At 36.2% G+C, this 23646-nt stretch overlaps 1 protein-coding gene across 23 annotated transcripts in view, besides 3 other annotated features; it reads left to right on the top strand.

Annotated features, from left to right (window-relative positions):
- The window catches only part of PLSCR1 (phospholipid scramblase 1), a 29428-nt gene extending 9038 nt beyond the window's left edge, over positions 1 to 20390 (top strand). For 6 of the 23 annotated variants that reach the window (NM_021105.3, NM_001406034.1, NM_001406033.1 and 3 more), the window contains 7 exons: positions 2020 to 2100; positions 6739 to 6956; positions 9923 to 9965; positions 13517 to 13737; positions 13865 to 14026; positions 18403 to 18564; positions 19469 to 20390. In NM_021105.3, the coding sequence (NP_066928.1) occupies positions 2020 to 2100; positions 6739 to 6956; positions 9923 to 9965; positions 13517 to 13737; positions 13865 to 14026; positions 18403 to 18564; positions 19469 to 19525 (944 nt within the window). In that variant the 3' untranslated portion in view covers positions 19526 to 20390. The remainder of the gene's footprint in view (positions 1 to 2019; positions 2101 to 6738; positions 6957 to 9922; positions 9966 to 13516; positions 13738 to 13864; positions 14027 to 18402; positions 18565 to 19468) is intronic. The other 17 variants (NM_001406041.1, NM_001406038.1, NM_001406039.1 and 14 more) reach the window with 7 other exon arrangements.
- Positions 12397 to 12915: an enhancer, noted in NCBI's record as "OCT4-NANOG-H3K27ac hESC enhancer chr3:146240442-146240960 (GRCh37/hg19 assembly coordinates)". NCBI's record gives its function as "activates a minimal SCP1, AML or CMV promoter by ChIP-STARR-seq in naive H9 embryonic stem cells {active_cell/tissue: H9 hESC(naive)}" and the evidence as "EXISTENCE:reporter gene assay evidence [ECO:0000049][PMID:30033119]".
- Positions 12916 to 13433: an enhancer, noted in NCBI's record as "OCT4-NANOG-H3K27ac hESC enhancer chr3:146239924-146240441 (GRCh37/hg19 assembly coordinates)". NCBI's record gives its function as "activates a minimal SCP1, AML or CMV promoter by ChIP-STARR-seq in naive H9 embryonic stem cells {active_cell/tissue: H9 hESC(naive)}" and the evidence as "EXISTENCE:reporter gene assay evidence [ECO:0000049][PMID:30033119]".
- Positions 20917 to 21418: an enhancer, noted in NCBI's record as "H3K27ac hESC enhancer chr3:146231939-146232440 (GRCh37/hg19 assembly coordinates)". NCBI's record gives its function as "activates a minimal SCP1, AML or CMV promoter by ChIP-STARR-seq in naive H9 embryonic stem cells {active_cell/tissue: H9 hESC(naive)}" and the evidence as "EXISTENCE:reporter gene assay evidence [ECO:0000049][PMID:30033119]".

Here is a 23646-nt window from a genome sequence, read left to right as displayed (position 1 = left end):
GTGTATATGTGTGTGAATAAATGTGTAAATATGTATATATACATACATGTAGACATAAAAAAAAGTACCTTTAAGACAATGTGATAGACTTGTACTTCTTATAAGCCATTTTAAGTTGCATTTCAAAAACGCAGTAATCAAACCATAATTAACATGCTCTTTGTTCTGCTTGAACACCTGCCCATTCACTCATTCTCCTTGTATGAATTCCCCCTGGAATGCCTGAAATCAGAATCATTGCTTTGGTACCAAAAGCCCAGAGATTGTGAGCTCATGATTTCTTGAGTCTGTCTGTTCCTGTATATGTGTGTGTGTGTGTGTTCTATGTTATAGTATTCAAACAATGTTGCTTATTAAGAGGTATCACAATGTGACATACCTGTCAAGGGTAGATCTTTACTTCAGACTTGCAAAATATTTTCTTGAAATCTATTCTGAGTCTGATGCTGTGTTTCCAACTTAATTTGGGAGTAGGGGCTGCAGGCAGGGCCTTATTAGCTAGAGAACTAGGGAGTTAGGTCAGTCACTTGATGCTGAGAAATAGAAGAGAATGGATGGGAAAGAATGATGGGGAGTTTCAGAGATTTGTGATGATTCACAAATCACAAGGTATGTTGCAATGTTTGTCCAGGGAAAAGTCCTCATTTGTTTTTTGTTGTTGTTTTGTGTTATTTATTTATTTATTTATTTATTTGAGATGGAGTCTCGCTCTGTCGCCCAGGCTGGAGTGCAGTGGCACGATCTCGGCTCACTGCAACCTCCGCCTCCCGGGTTTAAGTGATTCTCCTGCCTCAGCCTCCTGAGTTGCTGGGACTACAGGCGCGTGCCACCATGCCTGGCTAATTTTTGTATTTTTAGTAGAGATGGGGTTTCATTTTGTTGGCCAGGCTAGTCTTGAACGAGTAGGAGAGCGGTTTTTTTGCCTGATTTTACACAATCACCATGGACTGGATTCCGCTGAAGTCATCATGAAGCTATTTATGAAGGAGAAAGGCCGGGGCAGGGGGTGGGGGAAACAATCCAATCTTCCTGATAAAACCACACGATTCACAAGTTGAGTGGTCTTTGAAAGTTCATAATAGAGACACATACAGAAAAATGTGTTACAGTGAAAGTTTGACCTATATGTTCTTCTATATTGATGCCATGTCTCCATGATTCTAAAACAAAAGACTTTGAATTTACAGTTAGTAATTCATAAGGAAACAGATAAGGAGATAAGTGTAGTGTCTACTGCACCTTAAGCTGTATGAAAGCAGAGCCATTGTAGCCACAGAGCCTAATTCAAGGGTGACACAGGACATGCTCAGTAAATATTTAGAGACTGGCTGCGGTAGGTAACCGAATGACTAGATAGACATGAATATTAATATTTAGGAGGTTGAACCATTTGTGCATATATTAAGTTTACTCAAGCCTTATTAGCAAATAACAAAGTTTAATATGCTAGTGTATTGTAATTAAACATGGCTTTTGTGGGTCAAAAACAGTCATATTTGGGGAATTTCATATGGTTCAACTTCATTGGTGTAGTTCCAGAGTAAGCATAACATATATAAATACTGAAGTATATTCATTATTTTAAATATTTAAAATAATACTTACAGCAATGATGATAGATATCTTTAAAATCATCCATAATTCTACCATCTTCACATCCCATTAATTTCATTTATCTCTTTCTTCGTAGTCTGTATGTAATTTTAAAGCTATCTTTGTTTTATTATCAACAAAACATGGAACTGAACATTCATCAGGGATGTTTCAAAAACTGGTAATTCAGCCCCAGTAACTTAACTGTCTCATTTTATCTAAAGGAGAATTTGTTTGAAACAAATTTGCTAGTTGCAAATTAGCTCTGAGAACAGGCACAGCTTACGTTAAGTGAAAATTTTACTTTCCCTATTTCAATACAGCATAAGAACATACAAGTTACAATTATCTAAGTACAATACATTGTTTCTTTCTAATATATATTTTATTTAATCAGACATCTATTTACCTCTCCTTGAATTGCAGACTCACAGATGAATGCTTCTCACCCGGAAACAAACTTGCCAGTTGGGTATCCTCCTCAGTATCCACCGACAGCATTCCAAGGTAAAGCAGTTGCTGAAAGAAGAAAAAGTAAAATTAATTGAGAGACAGAGAGAGAGAGTGAGAGTGGGAGAGAGAGAGTAAGAGAGAGAGAGAATTGTGCATTTGTTTTTATTTTAGTAGTTCTTTTTTTAAAATTATATTAATGAAATTTTGGCAGCCTAGTTGTTCTTGATTATTTTTATTTGGCTATCATTTTGCACAGAAGTAATTTTTATTTATAGAGGACAGTAAAGGTATAAAGAAAGCTAGTAAAAACAACATTAGGTTTACATTTAGCAAATGAAATACAAGACTGTACATCCTAAAATACAAATGTTAAGTAAAATATTTTATTGATCCTCCATCTGTTCTGAAAATTATGATCATTTAATCACATTTAGGAAATTTATTTCTGATAAACTGAGTCATGTAGTAGCTTGGCATGTGTTCAGTGAGAGTCACATCAAAATAGTAAGACTGCTTAAAACTGAAAGTAATAGAAATTCAGTTACCTGGGAATAATTCTCATTTTAATTTTATAATGTATATGAAAGCTTTATTTTTATATATATGCTGATTCCACCCTGTATTTCTAAGAAAAGTAATTGAGTCATTTGACTACATACATAATTGAGTACATTTTTTCTTTTCAACCAATGCCTGAAAGAATTCAGAGATTTTCATTTAGGCAAATGCAGTTATCAAAACTACTAGAACTTTAAAAATAGCAAAGTCCATGGCATGTCCAGATTTACAAGCAGACAGGCTACCCACATCTTGAAAGAGCATCCTGAGGATTTAGGACCAAAGGGAATGTGGTTTGGATAGAAGGATGTACCCACTGTGTTTTCTTCTCTGAGTAAACAAATGTGCTTAGGAGCTGAATGTCATGTTTAATTGCCTAGCAAGAAACCTCCCTGCGGGTCCCGGATCTCATCCAGATGTTTGCAACTGAAAGAATATGAGCTAGATAAGCTCAGACTCTCAAGTGGTGGCTCATGGCAACCTTGTCTGCACTGAAGTATCATCACCCAGAAGCACTTAAAAATAGTAGTGCAAAGGCACTATTCCAGAAAAATTAAATCATAGCTTCCAGTGGTGGGACTCAAGGAATAGTAATCTTTTAACACCCCAAGTGATTCTAAGGTGAAGCCAGGGTTGAGAACATCTGCTCTAAATTCTTATAGGGTTGGTGTTTGAAAAATCATTAGTAAGTCTATAATATTCATCCAAGGCACTTAAGAGAATGATTTAATCCACCCTATCACTAATTAAAAGTAGATATACATAAATAATACAGTTCAGATATAATCAGACTTGAGAGTTTGTTTATATATATAGATATATATGGCTCTACAGCTTGATTTTGTTTCTCAAGTCCAAGATTACATATAGCACAAGTCTTAAGATAACGATGCTAAGAGTAAGGATAATTTAAAATTGAGATCTTACCATGCTTTAGTCATTGTTTTAAATGTGGAGTTAATGTGGACTAACACTTTTAATTCTTAGAATACTCTTATGAGGTAAATACTGTCAGTTATCCCCATTATGTATGTGGGAAAGCTGAGGCATAGGAAGTTTGTATCAGGCTTCAAGTTCTGCCTACTTTAAAAAAAAAATTCGTATAGGTAAATGTGCTGGTAAACCAGGTTCTGCCTTCTGTACTAATAGTTATGTGGTAGTTTAAACAAGTTGCAGTACCTCAAAGCCTCAGAGTTCCTATCTATAAATAAGGGTGATATTTTCAATGTAGGTTGCTTTGTAGAGTAAATGAGAGTATATGTAAAACACTGAGCACAATGCTTGCAAATTATAAATGACAAGTATTTGCTAACATATTTAAAATATTTTAAATCAATTAGTCTTTACATAAATGATACTAGTATTCAAATTTCAGGTAATTCTTTATGCTTAATTCATTGATTTGAGGAGTAATCCATCATACTTTCAGAGTCTGGGGAAAATTATGATGATGTTAAAAATGTAAGAAATTAACTCACATCTCCATATCCCCACTGGTCTGCCTATGGTCTGGTTTCTGTGCTGACCCCAGTGATCTTTAAAAATGTAAATCTGCTCATATTACAGAGAGTGTAGAGCCCCTATTTTATTAGTGGCCTATTACTTTTAGGATAAAGGCTAACACTAAACTCAGGATGGCCTTTTCCATGCTCTCTCTTTAACTTCCTCTTGAGCCTGGCTTGCTGTTATTCAGCTAGACTGGCTATTTTTCAGATTTTTAAAGGCCTATGTTAGTTACTGTCCCAGGACGTTGCTCTGAAATGTTCTTTCTGTGACTCTGGCCTCCTGAACTCCTGTGCATCCTTCAGATCTCAGCATAAAGGTGACCCCTCAAGGCAGCTGTTCCTGCTCCTTCCCTTTTTCTCTTCCCATCTCAATAGCGACCTTTGGCATCTCTAGTCATAAAACCGTGGTCTCTTACTTGAAAGCATTTATCTCCAATTCTAATGAATCAATTAATTACACTGGTATTATAGCTCCCTAGAATAAGTGGGGATATAAAGTTGTCTCTCTCATTAAACAATGATGGGCAGGGATTGCATCTGTGTTTTCCATTGTAAATTCTAATGCTTTTCCACTCCTGAAAATTTTGTAAGATATAGATAAGACCATGGAACTCATTCTTCTGCTTAAATTCCTCCAGTACTTGCCAATCATAATTGGAACCAAATCCAGACTCCTTACTAAGGCCTCCTTTGATGAACAGCTTCCTGTTGCTTTGCTAACAGCCTTTCCTAGTCGTCTTCTTTCTTATGACATTCCTCTCTCTTTTACGCCTGTCAAATTCATTACAAAGTCAGAGGTATTCTATTTGCCTTTCTTTCCTCCTGAAGCATTTATCACTAATCTTCATATAAAGCTTTTCTCTTCTCATCTTTTAGACCTTGATATAAATTATATTTACCCAAAGTAACTGCCTCATACCCTGCCCTCGCTCGCATACATTCTCTCCATCACATCCATATGAATTTTTTTTGTTTTAAATGTGTTTTCTTTCTCCCAGAAGTTGACTGTAAGCTCTCTGACAGCAGGCTGCCTCCTTGAGAATTGTATCCTCATATTCTACAACACAGCCAGTCACATTATGATCATTTGTAAATATTCATTCATCATAAAGGAATAAATTATAAAAGCTATATTTATGATGCATTATTGTGAGGTTTATTCTGTTTTTCTAAGCCTTATTTTTGAAGGGCAAATGAATTTTATCATAAATGATCCATTTAAAAGAATTTGTAAATTTCCTATTCTAAGTATTACATTTTGCATAGGCTTTAATGTTAAAATATTGAGAAACACAGTCCTTTGAAATTGTATTCCACTGCTATGGAATTGCTACACTGTGGACCATACAAACAGGTATATAAATCTTCATTGTAATCACACATTCGCAGAGAATATGAAGTACATTTACTGTTATTAAATTTCTGCCTCTTACAATTTTTTGCCATCCTTGTTTCTCAAATTATATTTTCCAGAGACCAAAGGATGTTAAATTGTGAAATTTAAATTTCTAACCTAAATATTATAATAGAATTTTATTTTAATGAAGAAGGACTTAGGAAAGCAATACATTATGGATTAAAACATAAGGCAAAGGATTAACCCAAGCAGGCATCTGGAATGTACTAAAAGAAATGACGTGTACTAAACGAATGGGCGCGGTGGCTCACGCCTGTAATCCCAGCACTTTGGGAAGCTGAGGTGGGCAGATCACGAGGTCAGGAGATCGAGACCATCCTGGCTAACACACTGAAACCCCGTCTCTACTAAAAAATACAAAAAATTAGCTGGGCGTGGTGGTGGGCGCCTGTAGTTCCAGCTACTTAGGAGGCTGAGGCAGGAGAATGGTGTGAACCCAGGAGGTGGAGCTTGCAGTGAGCAGAGATGATGCCACCGCACTCCAGCCTGGGCGACAGAGCAAGACTCTGTCTCAAAAAAAAAAAAAATGGAAAGAAAGAAATGACGTGCTTTCACCTTCAACAGTGGCACTATAATATTTTGGGCTGGACAATTCTTCATTTTTAGGGAGCTGTTCTGGCTCTTTTAAGATGTGTAGCAGCAGCCCTGGCCTCTACCCACCAGATGCAGTATTATCTTCCCCTCCAGTTGTGACCAAAAAAAGTCTGCAGATCTTGTCAAATATCCCTGGCAGAGAGGGGGCAAAACTACCCCCAGTTCTATACATATATTATAAGGCATTTGCTAGAATTTCAGAATTATCATTTTTCACAAGATACTTTGGCCCTAGAAATGCTGACTCAAAGCCATTATTTTGGGCCTTCTACCAATGACGTGTTTGTTTCCCTTGAAGGCTTGCCAGAATCTTTATGTAGGTGACTCTAGATCATGGTTATTTATTTTCATTTTCTCAGATATTAAAGCATATTTTCCTTCTGAGTTTTGAATGGTAAGGGTAAGGCTATTCACCGCATACTATCATCCAAATAGAAGTGGATGTGCAACCACAGATATTTCATTGAAAAATCTCAGAAAGAGAAAAGCGTATTAAACATCACAGATACAGATGTCTACGCTGAAATGTCAACTTATAGATAGATGGCATAACCCTAAAAAGGTTGACAATTCCATTTTTGGTGCAGTTACAAATCATTTCACTTGTTTGTATTTCAGGACCTCCAGGATATAGTGGCTACCCTGGGCCCCAGGTCAGCTACCCACCCCCACCAGCCGGCCATTCAGGTCCTGGCCCAGCTGGCTTTCCTGTCCCAAATCAGCCAGTGTATAATCAGCCAGTATATAATCAGCCAGTTGGAGCTGCAGGGGTACCATGGATGCCAGCGCCACAGCCTCCATTAAACTGTCCACCTGGATTAGAATATTTAAGTCAGGTAATTTCAAAGACACAAAATACTCATAAAAAACAGAACTGTGCTTCCAGCTTGCTTAACCAGATTAGCAAATGAATAATTCACCAAAGTCTGAAATAGCAAAACTGTATTTTCTGCTAACAGATTACTCTAATTCTTCTAGGTCTGGTTCAATTTTAAAGCAAAATACAAATGCCTTAGAAAATTGTATTTTCTGTTATCTTAAATACAATCTATGATAATGGCCAATAGCAAACATTTAATTAGCACTGTTTCCTGCCTTTGTTGTATGCCTGATACATGTATTAACTCATTTAATCCTTATTGAAAGTCTGTGATGTATAGGTGCTACATTTTTCAAAAGAAGAAACTGAGGTCCAGAGAGGTTATATAGCTCACTCTGGGGTGAGAACCTAAAGAGTCAAGACTGTTTTTTTAATCCCGAAACTTTGGTACTGAGCGAAGTGCTCTTTAGTCTCAATACTGAATAATTGCCTTATAATTTGGAAGAAAATTTAAATAAAGTTTATTGTTGAGTTTCAATAAGTGGCCCCAAACAAGGGGTTAATATTTTATGTATAATATGACTCACCTTTTTATTGTAACTAATAAAACTGCATTTTTATGATGCTGCTTTTGTTCTTTGGAAGACCTAATTTTATAAATGCCATTAATAAAGGAGTAAAAAGTCCTGGATTTTGTTGCACTAAATTATAATTAATCTCAGCAATAAGAGGTTTAACATTTAATTGGTGTTAGAAATCAGGTAGGTCAAATAGAAACAAGAAACTCTGTGTGTCCAGTCTATACACATACAAATATTCTTGTGATATTCAACCAGTTTTCATTTCATAAATCATTTCTTTCTTGCACTCTCTTTAGTAACTTAATTTCCCACAATGTGCTTAAGTGGCATAATCATAGGAATTTTTGGTCATTATTATATTATGCAAGAAATACATAGAAATAGATATTTTAAAAATCAGAGTCTCATAAAATACATAAAGGATGTTATCACATATGACAAAGGTTGATATTAAGTATGCTTAATACAAATCTGAAACTTGTAAAAAAAAATCTCTTTGATGGCTAAAAAAGTTACCAATATTTCTTCAGCCTATTCTAGAAGGAAGATTGTTTTCTACCTTTTGAATTGTTTTTGACACATAATAATTGTGCATATTTATGGAGTACAGTCTGGCATTTTAATGCACATGTACTACGTGTAATGAAAAATAAGGATAATTAGCATATCTGTCACTTTTAATATTTATCATTTCTTAGTGTTGAGAACATTCCAAATCCTCTCTTCTAGCTATTTGAAAATATACAATAAATTATTGTTAATTATAGTCAGCCTACATAGCTATAGAACACTAGAATTTATTCCTCCTATCTAGCTGTAATTTTGTATTCATTAACCAACTTCTCTTTATACCTCTCCTCCCTACCCTTCACAGTTTCTAGTAACCACTATTCTAGTATCTACTTTTTTTTTTAGATGGAGTCTCATCCTGTCACCCAGGCTGGAGTGCAATGGCACGATCTCGGCTCACTGCAACCTCCGCCTCCCGGGTTCAAGCTATTCTCTTGCCTCAGCCTCCCAAGTAGCTGGGCTACAGGCTCCTGCCACCACACCCAGCTCATTTTTGTATTTTTAGTAGAGACGGTTTCACCATACTGGCCAGGCTGGTCTTGAACTCCTGAACTTGTGATCCGCCTGCCTTGGCCTCCCAAAATGCTGGGATTACAGTCGTGAACCACTGCGCCTGGCCTCTACTCTCTACTTCTAAGAAATCAATTTTTTTAAGCTTCCATGTATGAGTGAGAACATTCAGTATTTTTCTTTCTGTGCCTGGCTTATTTCACTTAACATAATGTCCCTTAGGCTCATCCATGTTGCTGCCAATGACAGGATTTCATTCATTTTTATGGCTGATTTTTATTCCATTGTGTGTATTAAGAATGAATTTTTCTTTATTCATTTATCTATTGATGAATACTTAGGTTGATTCTATATATTGACTGTTAGTGCTGCAATAAGCATGAGATTGCAGATACCTCTGACATATTGATTTCCTTTCCTTTAAAATTTTTGTTTTGAAAATTTTGAAAAAATACTGTTTCAAAAAAAACAGTAGTGGGATTGCTGAATCATATGGTGGCTGTAATTTTAATTTTTGAGGAACCGCTACACTGTTCTCCATAATGGCTGCTCTAATTTACTTTCCCACCAACAGATTTCCCCTTCTCCACATTTTTACCATTATTTGTTATTTTTTGTCTTTTTGATAAAAATTCTTAACTGTACAAAGATAATATCTCATTGTGGTTTGGATTTCATTTCCCTGGTGATTAGTGATGTTGAGCATTTTTTCATAAACTTACTGGCCATTTTGTATCAATTTTCTTTTCTTTTTTTTTTCTTTCTTTTTTTTTTTTTTTTTTTTTGAGATGGAGTCTCACGCTTGTTGCCCAGGCTGGAGTGCAGTAGCGCGATCTCGGCTCACTGCAACATCTGCCGCCTGGGTTCAGGCGATTCTCCTGCCTGAGCCTCCCAAGTAGCTGGGACTACAGGCACCTGCCACCACACCCAGCTCATTTTTTGTATTTTTAGTAGAGACAGGGTTTCACCATGTCAGCCAGGATGGTCTCGATCTCCTGACCTCGTGATCTGCCCACTTTGGCCTCCCAAAGTGCTGGGATTACAGGCATGAGCCACCTCAATTGTCTAATTTTTAAAGGTACTCCAGTATAAATCAATTTTATTTGACCTAAATTTTTCCACATTAATAATGAACACAATAAATATTTTATTAATTAAAAATATTAACTTCAGTTTTACACTAAAAAGTAATATAAGCTGTTAAATATTGATAATTGGTTACATGTACTTTAAAAATATAAATACATGAATTTTAATTTGGTTAGCTTATAAAAACCTTCATTTGACATATACATACCACTTATTTTTTTTCCTGCTATAGATAGATCAGATACTGATTCATCAGCAAATTGAACTTCTGGAAGGTATGTATTCATTGTTTTAATCCTGTTTCTATAAAGAGTAGAAGTTTATGCAGATAAAGGCACATTGACCTCCACAAATATAACACTCTCACTTATATAGGACAGTTAAACCAGTTATTTACAATAATAAATGTTATCAGCAATTCATTTCTAAAATTTAGGAATCAAAAGGTAAAATGCTGTTATGTTGGGCACCTGCCCTCGGGATATTGACACTAACTTAGAAGGAAAATAATCAAAACCCTTATTTTGCTCCTCTCTTCATACATCACTTTTTTTCTGACTTCTACCACTTAAGCTATTTTCTCCGTAATTGTGATCAGCTTAAGAATGGCACAGAGCCACATTCCAAAGTAAGTTATCTTTTTTATTTGGATGAGGAAGTTTGGGAAAATTATCATTTGTGCCCACAGTTTCTCTTGGGAGTTAAGATGAACCCTATAAAACCTTTGTATACGAGGTCAGATGCAGGCCACTGCAGTGTGGGAGGATGCTGACCAACTAGCCTGCAGGCTTGGCTTCATAGAAGAGCACTCCTGCTCCTGCTGAATGGCCTGACATTTCCTTGGGTCCAGGGCTCCTTAGGTGCAAAAATAAACCTAGGAAGCCAATTAATGTTTTATAATGGCTGCCAGGGGAAGAAGACCCTGGATAGATTTATGAACCATAGTGTTTTCCTTCTAGATAAAAAAGGTTTAATAAAAAATAAAACTCTCCAGTTTTTAGGAATATGTCTGCTAAATTCATTTTCACCTGTCTCCAAAGTTTCTTTCCACTGGTAAAAATTAGAAGATGAATTGTATAAGCAGAATAATGGATTTGGCTAAAATATACAATTGTCATCTATTACATTGAAGTTATTTGTAAAGCACATTATTATTTATAAGTTACTTGATTTTTTTTTTAGTGTATCTAAACAAAGCTTTCTCTGGAAGACAGCTTTGTATTCTGAATTTTTTAATGTTTTATAGTATATATTAGTAAGGCTATAAAATCCAAACAGACATATAACCAAACATTACACAGCACACTATTTATCTTTTTTTGTAGATTTATAGGCTTTATAAATATTTGTTAAATATGTGTTAATTATGAAATAGAAAGTTCCAAATCTAACAGTTTTTAATTATGCTTATTTTTCAAAAAAGAAATGTCTCCAGTTTTTTTTTTGTTTCTTTTTCTCCAAAATTGAAAGTCTATGTTATTTTTTCATGAGTGGTATAAAAAAGATGAAGATTACTCAGGTTTTTAGAATCTGAGCATAAACTAGGCACTTACTTTTTTTTCTCAATTCAAAACACAGAAGACAATAAAAATATAAACAATTTGTTTACATTTTTAAAGTAAATGAAAAGAAACTTAAAGGTTATGTAAACCAATGTTGTTTTACAAATAAGCTGGAGATTTTTGAGATTAAGCTACTTAATGTAACAATTAATTAGATAATGAATGTCCTCTCAAAATCAGCTTAACTTTTTTCTCATCAAACATTTGACTATTTCAGATGTTGAAATCAGACGTTGTTCCTATAAATGCAGAGTACAGGGTCTGTCTGTGTCCCACCAAGGACACTTAAAGGAGTTCATGGTGGTAAGACTTGTGAAGGCCGTCTTTATCCGACTCAGAGTCTTTCCACATAGGCATTATAGAGTGACTTTTCCTCCATATATTTATTTTAATCACTCATTATTTTAGCCAGGCTTCTGACATCTATGACCCCAGTTACTGAGGACTATGTACAAATGGGACAGTTATTGCTCCTTTCTGGCTTTAAATATGGAGAGGTTTCCAATGTATGGTTAGATATGGAAAGCCCTTGATACAAAGTATGTGAGTGTCAGCATTTTGCAGCCATCTGTTTCCCTCATGAAGATAGATTAGCCCAGCAAAGGTGCAGAGTTCACTTAGGATTCCCACGGTCTAGATATTCTGTGAGTTGAAGCCTTGGTTGCCGAACACGTTTGTCTAATACCCACCTCCCACTTCTGAACAACTACTGTTGAGTTGAATAAGGATGCCCTGGGTCCAATGTGACATTCTAATTCATCTTTCATTTTTACTCCCTCGGTTTTTATGCGTGTACATTGCCTTCTTTCAAAAGCATTGCAAAAAAATAAGACATAAGTAAGGTTTATAAGACAGTCTCAAACCAATTGATTTAATATAAAATTTCATAGCACATAAACAGCAATCCTCTTATATTCCCCTCCACATTACACATAAACTATCCTGCATTAGTGGACATTTTATCTATACACCTAGCACCACCGTGCCCACCCACAGCATTGCCCCAACTCTCAGCAGAAAAGTCTCTCTTCTGACAGACATTTATGGAATTAGGAAAATATAACTTGTTTCCAGTGTCTCACATAATGAAGGGATGGGTTGCCCCTCCACACTTGTGGGTGTTTCTTGTTAGGCGGAACGAGAGACTTGGAAAAGAAAAGACACAGAGACAAAGTATAGAGAAAGAAAAATGGGCCCAGGGGACTGGCATTCAGCATACGGAGGACCCGCGCCAGCACCGGCCTCTGAGTTCCCTTAGTATTTATTGATCATTATCGGGCGTTTCCCGGAGAGGGGGATGTGGCAGGACAATAGGATAATAGTGGGGAGAAGGTCAGCATGTAAACACGTGAACAAATGTCTCTGCATCATAAAAAGGTAAAGAAAAAGGTGCTGTGCTTTTGATGTGCATATACATAAACATCTCAATGCCTTAAAGAGCAGTATTGCTGCCAGCACGTCCCACCTCCAGCCCTAAGGCAGTTTTCCCCTATCTCAGTAGATGGAATATACAATTGGGCTTTACACCTAGACGTTCCATTGCCCAGGGACGAGCAGGAGACAGATACCTTCCTCTTATCTCAACTGCAAAGACGCGTTCCTTCCTCTTTTACTAATCCCCCTCAGTGCAGACCCTTTACGGGTGTCGGACTGGTGGACGGTCAGGTCTTTCCCTTCCCAGGAGGCCATATTTCAGACTATCACATGGGGAGAAACCTTGGACAATACCTGGCTTTCCTAGGCAGAGGTCCCTGTGGCCTTCCACAGTGTTTTGTGTCCCTGGGTACTTGAGATTAGGGAGTGGTGATGACTCTTAACAAGCATGCTGCCTTCAAGCATTTGTTTAACAAAGCACATCCTGCACAGCCCTTAATCCATTTAACCCTAAATTGACACAGCACATGTTTCAGGGAGCACAGGGTGGGGGGTAGGGTTACAGATTAACAGCATCTCAAGGCAGAAAAATTTTTCTTAGTACAGAACAAAATGGAGTCTCTTATGTCTACTTCTTTCTACACAGACATGGTAACAATCTGATCTCTCTTTTCCCCACGGCATAAGGACTTAATTTCTCTATACATTGGTAATCTCTCCTTTTTTTTGCCATTTTTCTCTGTCTGGATCATCTCTAAACATCATTTCTTCTCCTCCTTATGCCACTTGGGGTATCATCAAAAACTGGCATAGCTAGATATTATAATATCTGGATAAATTCAATATTTTTAACATAGAGGTGATTATGATTTCGTCTTTTATGTTTTTAGTTTTAACAGGTTTTGAAACTAATAACAAATATGAAATTAAGAACAGCTTTGGACAGAGGGTTTACTTTGCAGCGGAAGATACTGATTGCTGTACCCGAAATTGCTGTGGGCCATCTAGACCTTTTACCTTGAGGATTATTGATAATATGGGTCAAGAAGTCATAACTCTGGAGAGACCACTAAGATGTAGCAGCTGTTGTTGTCCCTGCTGCCTTCAGGAGGTCTGTGATCAATTACCAGGGCACTTTGTAAAATAGTTCAGCAAGAATTTCTGCCCTGTCATTGAACCTTTCATCGAACCTAGGCATTATGATTATTACATTTACATATATTATTTTGCCTTTGTAGATAGAAATCCAAGCTCCTCCTGGTGTACCAATAGGTTATGTTATTCAGACTTGGCACCCATGTCTACCAAAGTTTACAATTCAAAATGAGAAAAGAGAGGATGTACTAAAAATAAGTGGTCCATGTGTTGTGTGCAGCTGTTGTGGAGATGTTGATTTTGAGGTAAGAGATGTCATAATGTTTATAAGATTTGCTTTCCTAATATAAGAAGAATGTAATTTTGCAGGACATTATAAATGCATTAAATAAGTGTTGTGTGCCAATGTCTCAATAGCAAGATGATTTTCTCATTTATTTAACTTTGGGCAGAGTGGTAGTTATCACTCTGATTAAAGGTCACTGTTGGTCATGAGAAATGGAAAAAAAAGAAGCAGACCTATGTAGTCAAATAAAAATAAGCAAATCATCCCTCACTTAAACGTGGTGGTTTCTATGTGATGACACTGTATATTATCCATTTTAAACAGAACGTTAACCTTGCCATCTAAGTCTGATTGCCAAAGCATATGGATCCTTCTTAAATCTGAAATATCATCTGCCAATGCTCAAGGCCATGTTCAGAATGTCTGACATCTTTGAATTCCTACAAGAAGCCCAATTATGCAAAGATAGTTTTGAGAAAATTAGTATAATATGTACTACCCAGTTATGCTTCTCTGTGGTCTCTCCTTTTCCCTATATTAAATTAGGTCACTAGAAGCTGCAACATATTAATATTTGTATATTTACTGTAATACATTGTAGAATTTCATTAGAGTAGCTCTTCAACAACAGATGGTCTACTTTTACAATCCAAATTTTTTCATTGCAAATGTTTAAAAATCAGAAGGTTTTATAACTTAATCTTGATTTCTTGTTTCTCTTGGAAAATCAGAAAATTGGGTTAACTGGGCCCACCTTTCCAACAAAAGGGTAAAAATCTACTAAAGATGTGTGGGGCTGCCCCTTGTAATAATGACATGGGAACTCTACCACTGTCTCCACCCCTTACTGAGGTTTTTCAATATCCAGTGTCATTCATTTATGTGATCTGCCTGCCTTCTTTAATCACATGGTATTTTATTCCTCCGTCAGACTTTAGCTATATAAAGATGAATCCTTTCCCCCATTGACTTCATAATCTAATGACAGAGATTTGCAGTTCTAAGGAGGATGTGATATAGAAACTTTAAAAAGGCTCTTATAAGGGGATTATATAATGTGTGTATGTATATGTGTGCATAATATGCATGTATAAAAATTTTATGTAAGGGTATGCATAATAGCAGTTCTTCATGTAAGGGATGGAATCTCTGTCCTACATCCAGAGAAGTGAAAAGTAATTTCTCATTCAAGGAACAATATTAACAGAAGTTTGGCTGGCATATATTTTATTTTTAGTAAATAAATGAAAACACTGGAAAAACATTGTGTAATCCTTGTATTTGATACTAAAAAATTTATGTTTCATCTGGCAGTCTTTCTTGATGGATACCTTAAAGCATCCATTCCATGTAATAAATTAACTTTTCTTCTATTTATCTAGAATGATGATATCAAGGTACTCTCATGGAAAGAATTGAGAAATAGTCACTTGAAGAATTTTCCATAGAGTTGACAATGGAAACTTTGACACCTCAAAGCAGAAATTATCAGTATGAGGGACCACTAAGGAACATGAAATCCACCAGGGTGTCACTGGGCATGGAAACTTGAAGTAATAAAAGAGATAAAAGCCTGTTCCACAGCAGGGGCAGGAGTCATTCTAAAACAGAGAATAACTCAAGAGGCATTTCATAGGTGTACTATGTGGAACTAATTCATGGATTTGATATCAATTGAGGATGAAAAAAATTTTGGAGATAAACTTGATGTGTTATTATTCTGATATTACATTGGCCAAGTTAAGAATCTTGGAGGAAAAACACTTGATTTGTGTCCTCTTGACCATTATGATAGTCTGCTTTTTAAAAAGTAAGGTATCAAATACTAATACACATCTAGGTCAGGGATCAGCAAAATATAATCAATGAGCTGTAGTTGATTATATAAAATATATATGGGAAGTTAATGACTTGAATTAAGGTCATGTTGGATTTTAGTTATGTATAGGAAAAGAATGGAGAGTTTTCAGCAAACAGACAGTAATTGAATCTCTAAGAAGGTTATCTTAATGGTGAGTAAGAGAGAGCCTAGTAGACCTTTTATCCAATATAGGTGATAAGAGAGTCTGTCTCCTTCAAGGACTCTTGGTAGGGGGAAAAAATATGGCCACATGAAACTGACATACCAAGTCAGCTCTGTCTATGAGCTTGAAATCTGAATTCCTGCCACTGTTGTGTTTCAGGAATCTCAAAATATAGAAACTGATCCTGAGTAGTGATAAATTTTATATGGTCAACTATAGCCCACAGATTTTTTTTCCTGCCCTCTCAACTAGATTTTCATTAGTATTCAATAAATATGTTTTTAAAAAGCAGACAATCCTAATGGTCAAGAGTATAGACACTGGAGCCAGATGCCCAGGTTTGAAACCCATCTTCACAACACTTATCTATGTGACTTTAACAAATTCTTTCACTTCTCTTTGCTTTAGTTTTTTTACATGAAAATTGGGTGTAATAACAGTAAATAAATAAATCATTAGTAAGTAAATAAAATAGCTTACCAGCAACTATTAATATACTCATGATACACTTTTTATATTTCTTTGCTACATACCTAGATCCTATATGCTGTCATTATATTTCAGTATTTTGCATTTATATTTGCATTGTGAGATGAATCTATGGTTTTCTTTTTAGAATGCTTTTACCAATTAGTATTGCACTCATGGATTTGAAAGTTTAACATTATACAATACCAATTTATTATTTCCAAATGTTGACATTTTATTATAGTGATTTTCTATTCCAAAATGTCTACAATTTAGCTAAAAATTATCTAGTCCTGCTAATTTATTGGTTGAAGATCATTATTTGCATTTCTTATCCTTGCCATAAAAAATGTATTCTCTACTTTGTTAAATTTCTTGCTGTAGTAATCAAAAAGGGCAAATGTTAATATCTTTATCTGTATAGTGTTGAGTTTACGGTGGCTAGTAAGTTGTCAGCTGCATTTTTCATTTTTTTAAATTTCAGAATTAAAAAATAAAACATAAGAGTTTTCATTACTAGCTTCAAATGCTTCAATGACAGCTATTAGCAGAAAAATACTAACATGTACAAGAAAGGATTTGTATTAGTTTATTTCACCACAGTAGTATTTCATTACACATAATCCCTAAAACTCAGCAGCTTGCAATAAGTGTTTATACTCATGCTTATGGGTGTGTAGGTCAACTGTGTTTCAGTGGATGTATTTAAGCACTGACTTAGGCGCATGTTAACCTCAATCTGCTCCAGGTAGATTTGTTCTATGGCTGTAGCAGCAGCAGCTACCTGAGTCATGCTTTTCTAGTGGCTTGTCACTGAAGATCATAAGCCAGGCCAAAGCACTTAGCCAAGTTTAAGGACACTACTCATGTCATATCTGCTAACACCCGTTGTTCAAACAAGTAACATGGCCAAGCCTAATTATGAAGGAACAGGAAGTATACTGGCCCTACAGAAGGAGAGGGAATGAAATGAATATTTGATGAACAGTATTATGCTATCAGCTTCATATTAGATGTTTATTTCTAGTATTTTACAAACTATCCACTTGTACTCAAATAAAATGAGTCAAGTATTTTTAGATTCCCCACATTTATTTAGCTGAAAAGGACACTCCTCTGTTAATACAACTATATGTGTACATAGTTTTGTGAATTTCAGCTACATTCAGTCCCCACCTGCCCTCCTAGAGGAGTTGCCTTAGTCTGAGCAAAGTCCATTCAACCCTATATGATGGCCCTGGGCTTTCCTCAGGCAGAATTGTAAAATTAGGAAACTTCTACTTCGGAGCTCATTTGTTCATACACTCTTCATCTTTTATTCACACCCCACTAGTTATCCACTCTCAACCTCAACCCTTGGCGTGGGGCATTTCATCAAGTTACTTATTGGTATTTGCCTTTACTCCAAACTGCTAATCTTTTCTAGGTGCTTAGCATTTCATGTTTGGCAACTCACAGTGGGTAGTAATAAGCCTTTTCATCATATTTAATCTTTCAGTCTGTGTAAACTGTGCTTCTCCTAAAGCAGAAGTCTAATAGGAGTTTTGTTCATTAACTTCCTGATGGCTTCTAGAAATGTCATCAAAGAAACATTTCATATTTATATCCTTTTTTGCTTAAATTTTCTTTTGGGTCAATTCAAATAATTTATTAATGTCTATATTAATATAAAATAGAAATTGTTAAATATTTCAGGAAAACTTTCTGAAATATAATTTCTCCGTACAATGAAACAGTTTTTTTCATATATCTATAAATAGATACAGGAGCCTCCAGTTATCTAATGAGGGTTACATATGGTGCATAATTTTAATACCATATTTGTTTCATCTTACTTCAAATTTGAAAGTACTTTTGCTATAAGTTTCCTAAAAGTATTTAATACTTTTTTTTTTCAATTTAGATTAAATCTCTTGATGAACAGTGTGTGGTTGGCAAAATTTCCAAGCACTGGACTGGAATTTTGAGAGAGGCATTTACAGACGCTGATAACTTTGGAATCCAGTTCCCTTTAGACCTTGATGTTAAAATGAAAGCTGTAATGATTGGTGCCTGTTTCCTCATTGTAAGTCTGTTCTTATTAATCTTGATTATAGATGCTTTCTCTAGGTTCATTCTGAAATGATTCAGTAAAGTGTATATTTCAAAATGACATTTTAAAATTTATAGATTTTAAATCAGGATTCCCATTTAATCCTAGCTCTGAAATTCTATTTGATCCTGACACTCTGGGGTCACAGGTGACTAGTTTCTACCTGAAGAGTCTATGAATATTCACATGGCAAGAGGGGGACTAAGGAGATGTACTAAGGAGAGATTTTAGTCTCCCCTTAAATCAGGCATCTCCTAGATGCTTTGAGGAAGAAGTTGAAAGTAGGCATATGTGGAAAAAATTTAGTGAAACAAGGAAACTTTACCATGACTCATAGTAATTAAATTAAACCATCTAATATAGGAGTATGAAGTACAATAAGAGTGTACATTCACTCAAGTGTGTAGACCTAACTACCAAATTACAGGAAATAATTGGATATACCAGTGATTCTGAAATTGCCTTCACATTAGAACCACCTAGGGACTTTAAAAACTCCAAGGACTAGTCCATACCTCAGTTCAACTAAATCAGAAACTTCGAAGTTCATATAGTGTTCCAGGTGATTCCAGTATGCAGCCAAAGATGAGAATTATGGGGATAGAGAAAAAGTAACATTTAGAGAAAATGACTGGAAGATTAATTAAATTCATACAGGTATCAATAAATGAATAGAATTATAGAATTTATTATTAAAATGGAAAGCCAAAGGCAGAACTTATATAATTATAGAGCTTTTGTATATTTACTTATTACATTTAATTTTTTTAACAGATTTGTTACTGTGTTTCACTAGATCCCTTAGTATTTCTGCATCTGATAATTGATCTCTGTTTTGTTGTTGAAAATTCATTTGTATACTTTTGTTTTTATCTAGGACTTCATGTTTTTTGAAAGCACTGGCAGCCAGGAACAAAAATCAGGAGTGTGGTAGTGGATTAGTGAAAGTCTCCTCAGGAAATCTGAAGTCTGTATATTGATTGAGACTATCTAAACTCATACCTGTATGAATTAAGCTGTAAGGCCTGTAGCTCTGGTTGTATACTTTTGCTTTTCAAATTATAGTTTATCTTCTGTATAACTGATTTATAAAGGTTTTTGTACATTTTTTAATACTCATTGTCAATTTGAGAAAAAGGACATATGAGTTTTTGCATTTATTAATGAAACTTCCTTTGAAAAACTGCTTTGAATTATGATCTCTGATTCATTGTCCATTTTACTACCAAATATTAACTAAGGCCTTATTAATTTTTATATAAATTATATCTTGTCCTATTAAATCTAGTTACAATTTATTTCATGCATAAGAGCTAATGTTATTTTGCAAATGCCATATATTCAAAAAAGCTCAAAGATAATTTTCTTTACTATTATGTTCAAATAATATTCAATATGCATATTATCTTTAAAAAGTTAAATGTTTTTTTAATCTTCAAGAAATCATGCTACACTTAACTTCTCCTAGAAGCTAATCTATACCATAATATTTTCATATTCACAAGATATTAAATTACCAATTTTCAAATTATTGTTAGTAAAGAACAAAATGATTCTCTCCCAAAGAAAGACACATTTTAAATACTCCTTCACTCTAAAACTCTGGTATTATAACTTTTGAAAGTTAATATTTCTACATGAAATGTTTAGCTCTTACACTCTATCCTTCCTAGAAAATGGTAATTGAGATTACTCAGATATTAATTAAATACAATATCATATATATATTCACAGAGTATAAACCTAAATAATGATCTATTAGATTCAAATATTTGAAATAAAAACTTGATTTTTTTGTATATTTGATTTTTGTTTTTAAACGAAATGTGTTCAGATGGTATTTTGAGCACTCATTCAGTTAAATGATGGTACATTTGAAGCAGGATATTTCCCTGACCCCTTCACAGGACTCGAGACAGGGGTGCCTTGTTTACTCAGCCTGCCATTCTCAACTCCTCCTGGGAGGGAGTGCACAGGCAAACAAGGCAGGAACTGGAGTGTACAAGCACTGGAACTGGCTGGCCGCTTTGGCATGGGCAGGAACAAACTGTGCAGGCCCTGTGGTAGCATCCAGGTGGGGTTGCCTGCGATTCCTGAAGCCCCAGAAGATGTGTTAACAGTGCTCTTTTAGCTCTGCTGTCTGTGGACGGCTTAAGTGTTAACAGCTCAGTGGGCCCTTTGCCTTGTCATGTGGGACAGCTGCCCTCCACCAGCAAGGGCAAATGGCGAATGTGAGAGCCTTTTATATCGGCACTCATGGCTCCCAGGCTCTTGTCCGGTGTCCAGGAAAAATGTGGTCACAAAAACAAACTGAAGGATGGTAAATGAGGGGGATTTTATTGCTGATGAAAGTGGCTCTCAGTGAGAAAGGGAGCTGAAAAGGGGACAGTGGGGTAGGTGATCTTCCCCTGAAGTCTGGCCCTGTCCAGCTGGATTCTTCTCTGAAGTTACACTGTCAAGCTGTCCCTCTGAAGTCAAGCTGCTTCTCTCCAATGTCCAGCCATAGTCTCCACTCCTCTCTGACTGAGTCTTGGGTCTTTATAGGCACAGGATTGCAGGCAGGGCGGGCCATGGGCAGTTTAGGAAAAGGCAACATTCAAGTAGGAAAACAGGGATATAAATTCTCACTTTGGGCCGGGGTTTCAGGCATTTCAGCTTGAGGGTAGGGTTTTCACTGGGGACTCACCCTTTTCTACCTAGAATTTCTCTGCCTCCTGTCTCCATCATATTTAACTGACTTTTCCTTTCAAATCTCCTTTAAAAATGAGCAAAGGTACATGACACTTTGTAGTAAAATCTGTACCAGTGTTGGAAACTAGGATTTCCACCTGTCAGAAGCTTATAAGAATTTAGTTAATCTCTTTTGTAATGAAGATTGAGTTGAAAGATGACATGAACAACCCACAATATTCTTCATGCAATGGAAAAGTATGCTTAAGCAATAAGGGCATGTGGAAGAGTCCCTCTTTCATATTCAGCACAATTCTTGTAACAGCAGCTCTCCTCATGGTGTTAGTGCCCTAGACCTCAATAGCTCCAAATGGCAAGCGGTGAGAACATTAGTATGCAGGAGATCTTCAGGAAAAGTCAAGTCTAGATGATCTCCCACAAGTCTAAACAATTCACCAGATGCCAAGTTCCAGTGATGAGGTGTACCCATGGAACTCAGAGCATGTGCTTGGTACAGATGGCATGCCAAGAAAAGTGGAGGTACTTGCATAGCTGAATCCCAATGGCATTGTTATGCCAGTTACAGAAGAGGGTGGGCATAGGATTTCCAAACTGGCCATAATGTGCCAAAACTAACCCAAAATAAGGCTTAGAGTACTGACATTATCTCTGTGACAGCTAAATTTTACTTTCATTATTTCTCTCTCTCTCAACAGGATTCTGGATCTTTGGTTAAGCAAAATGAAACTAAACTGATCTAAACATTTCTTTCTTCAACTCTGCAAAGAAGATCTGAGCAAAACCCCACATATCTTCTGCAGAACCTATTTAAATACTAGACAAATATCTTCTCATTACATAATTACATACAGAAAATAATCACACATGAAAAATTCGATATTTAATTAAGAAAATACCAGGAATTGTTTTTCAAAGTTTAATTTGTAATCTCAATGAGATTTGAGGAAATGTTGCATATTTTTTTATTTCTACCATGTGAGTTATAACAGTGAATGGAAAGTCACTGCGTGTCCCTGACTAGGGAAAATATTCAGGAGGAAAAGCTGCAATGGATGGGGCATGGAGGTATATTTTTGATCTTGGGAAGGAAGTTCTAGGTAGGTGGTCAGTGAGGAAGGGGGAGAAGGAGGGAGGAAGAAGGAGGGGAGGGAGGGGAGGAAGACAAGATTAAGGGATGTCAGTACCTCTCCTATGTACCTCTTGGGGGAGGGTTGAGGAGTGAGGGGAGTGTAAGTGAAAGTAGAGACAAGGCTGGGAGAGGAAAAAACAAAAAGCACCAGCCACAGGCAATTAAATTGCCAGAAAGTCAGTGTCTGGGCTCCCGGCATCAAGTTAGCTAGCTACTCTATGGATAAGTACTGAAGCTTTAATTGCATTTGGGCTCAAAAACAACAACTGTAACTTTAGGGTAACTAGAAAAGCCTCTGTAGAGAATCGCTGCCATCAGTTAAGAATGGAATGATTTAAAATGTCTCTGGGCACAATGAAGTGCTCCTAGAGCTTAAAGTGCCAGAAAAGTGTACAGGGTTTCCCTCCATGTCCTGCCTCTCTCCTTTACTGTCTCTAGCCCAGCATACACCGCCTGAGTTTCTAGGGCCATGTTCCTGCACCTGGTACTGTCTCCTTCAAGCTGTGTGTTCCTCCTTGTGCCTTAATTTCCCTTAGTTGTCAATAGTATCGTTGTCAATTGATTATGTTATCTACCTCATAAGGTCAGTATGAAGATTCAGTGTTCTAATGCAGGTTCAGAGACCTGAGCAGGTTCCTGCAATAGAACCAGTGTAAAAAATGAAAAGGGCTATGTGTTGGTAAAGATCAATGGTTTTCAGAACACAGAGAAGTGTCTCAAAGCCAGTGAAGAATATTTGGCCTAAAGTAAATTTCTGTATTGTGATTTGAATAGCAAGCAAAATCCATTTAAACCCTAGCAAGAATACTATCTCCTCAAAAAAAAAAAAAAAAAAAGTCCATGCAAGATGCCAAGCTAGGGAATGATGCTCATCTCACAGAAGTGTAGATTAAGGGAAATTAAGGCACAGGGAGGAACAGAGTCTCTGGCTTCTGTGTTAGAGCCTTTTTTAATCTTAGCTTTATAGTGTCAAAATGTGGCAAGCTATTTTAAGAGAGGAACAATAGCTGGGCGCAGTAACTCATGCCTGTAATCCCAGCACTTTGGGAGGCCAAGACAGGTGGATCACCTGAGGTCAGGAGTTCAAGACCAGCCTGGCCAAAATGGTGAAACCCTGTTTCTATTAAAAATACAAAAATTAGCTGGGCATGGTGGCAGGCATCTGTAATCCCAGCTACTGGGAAGGATGAGGCAGGAGAATTGATTGAACCTGGGAGGCGGAGGTTGCAATGAGC

Source organism: Homo sapiens, chromosome 3 (assembly GCF_000001405.40).
Source record: "Homo sapiens chromosome 3, GRCh38.p14 Primary Assembly".
NCBI classification, from domain to species: Eukaryota; Metazoa; Chordata; class Mammalia; order Primates; family Hominidae; genus Homo; species Homo sapiens.
Note: the sequence above shows the minus strand (reverse complement) of the source record. Positions and strands in the feature narration are given on the sequence as shown.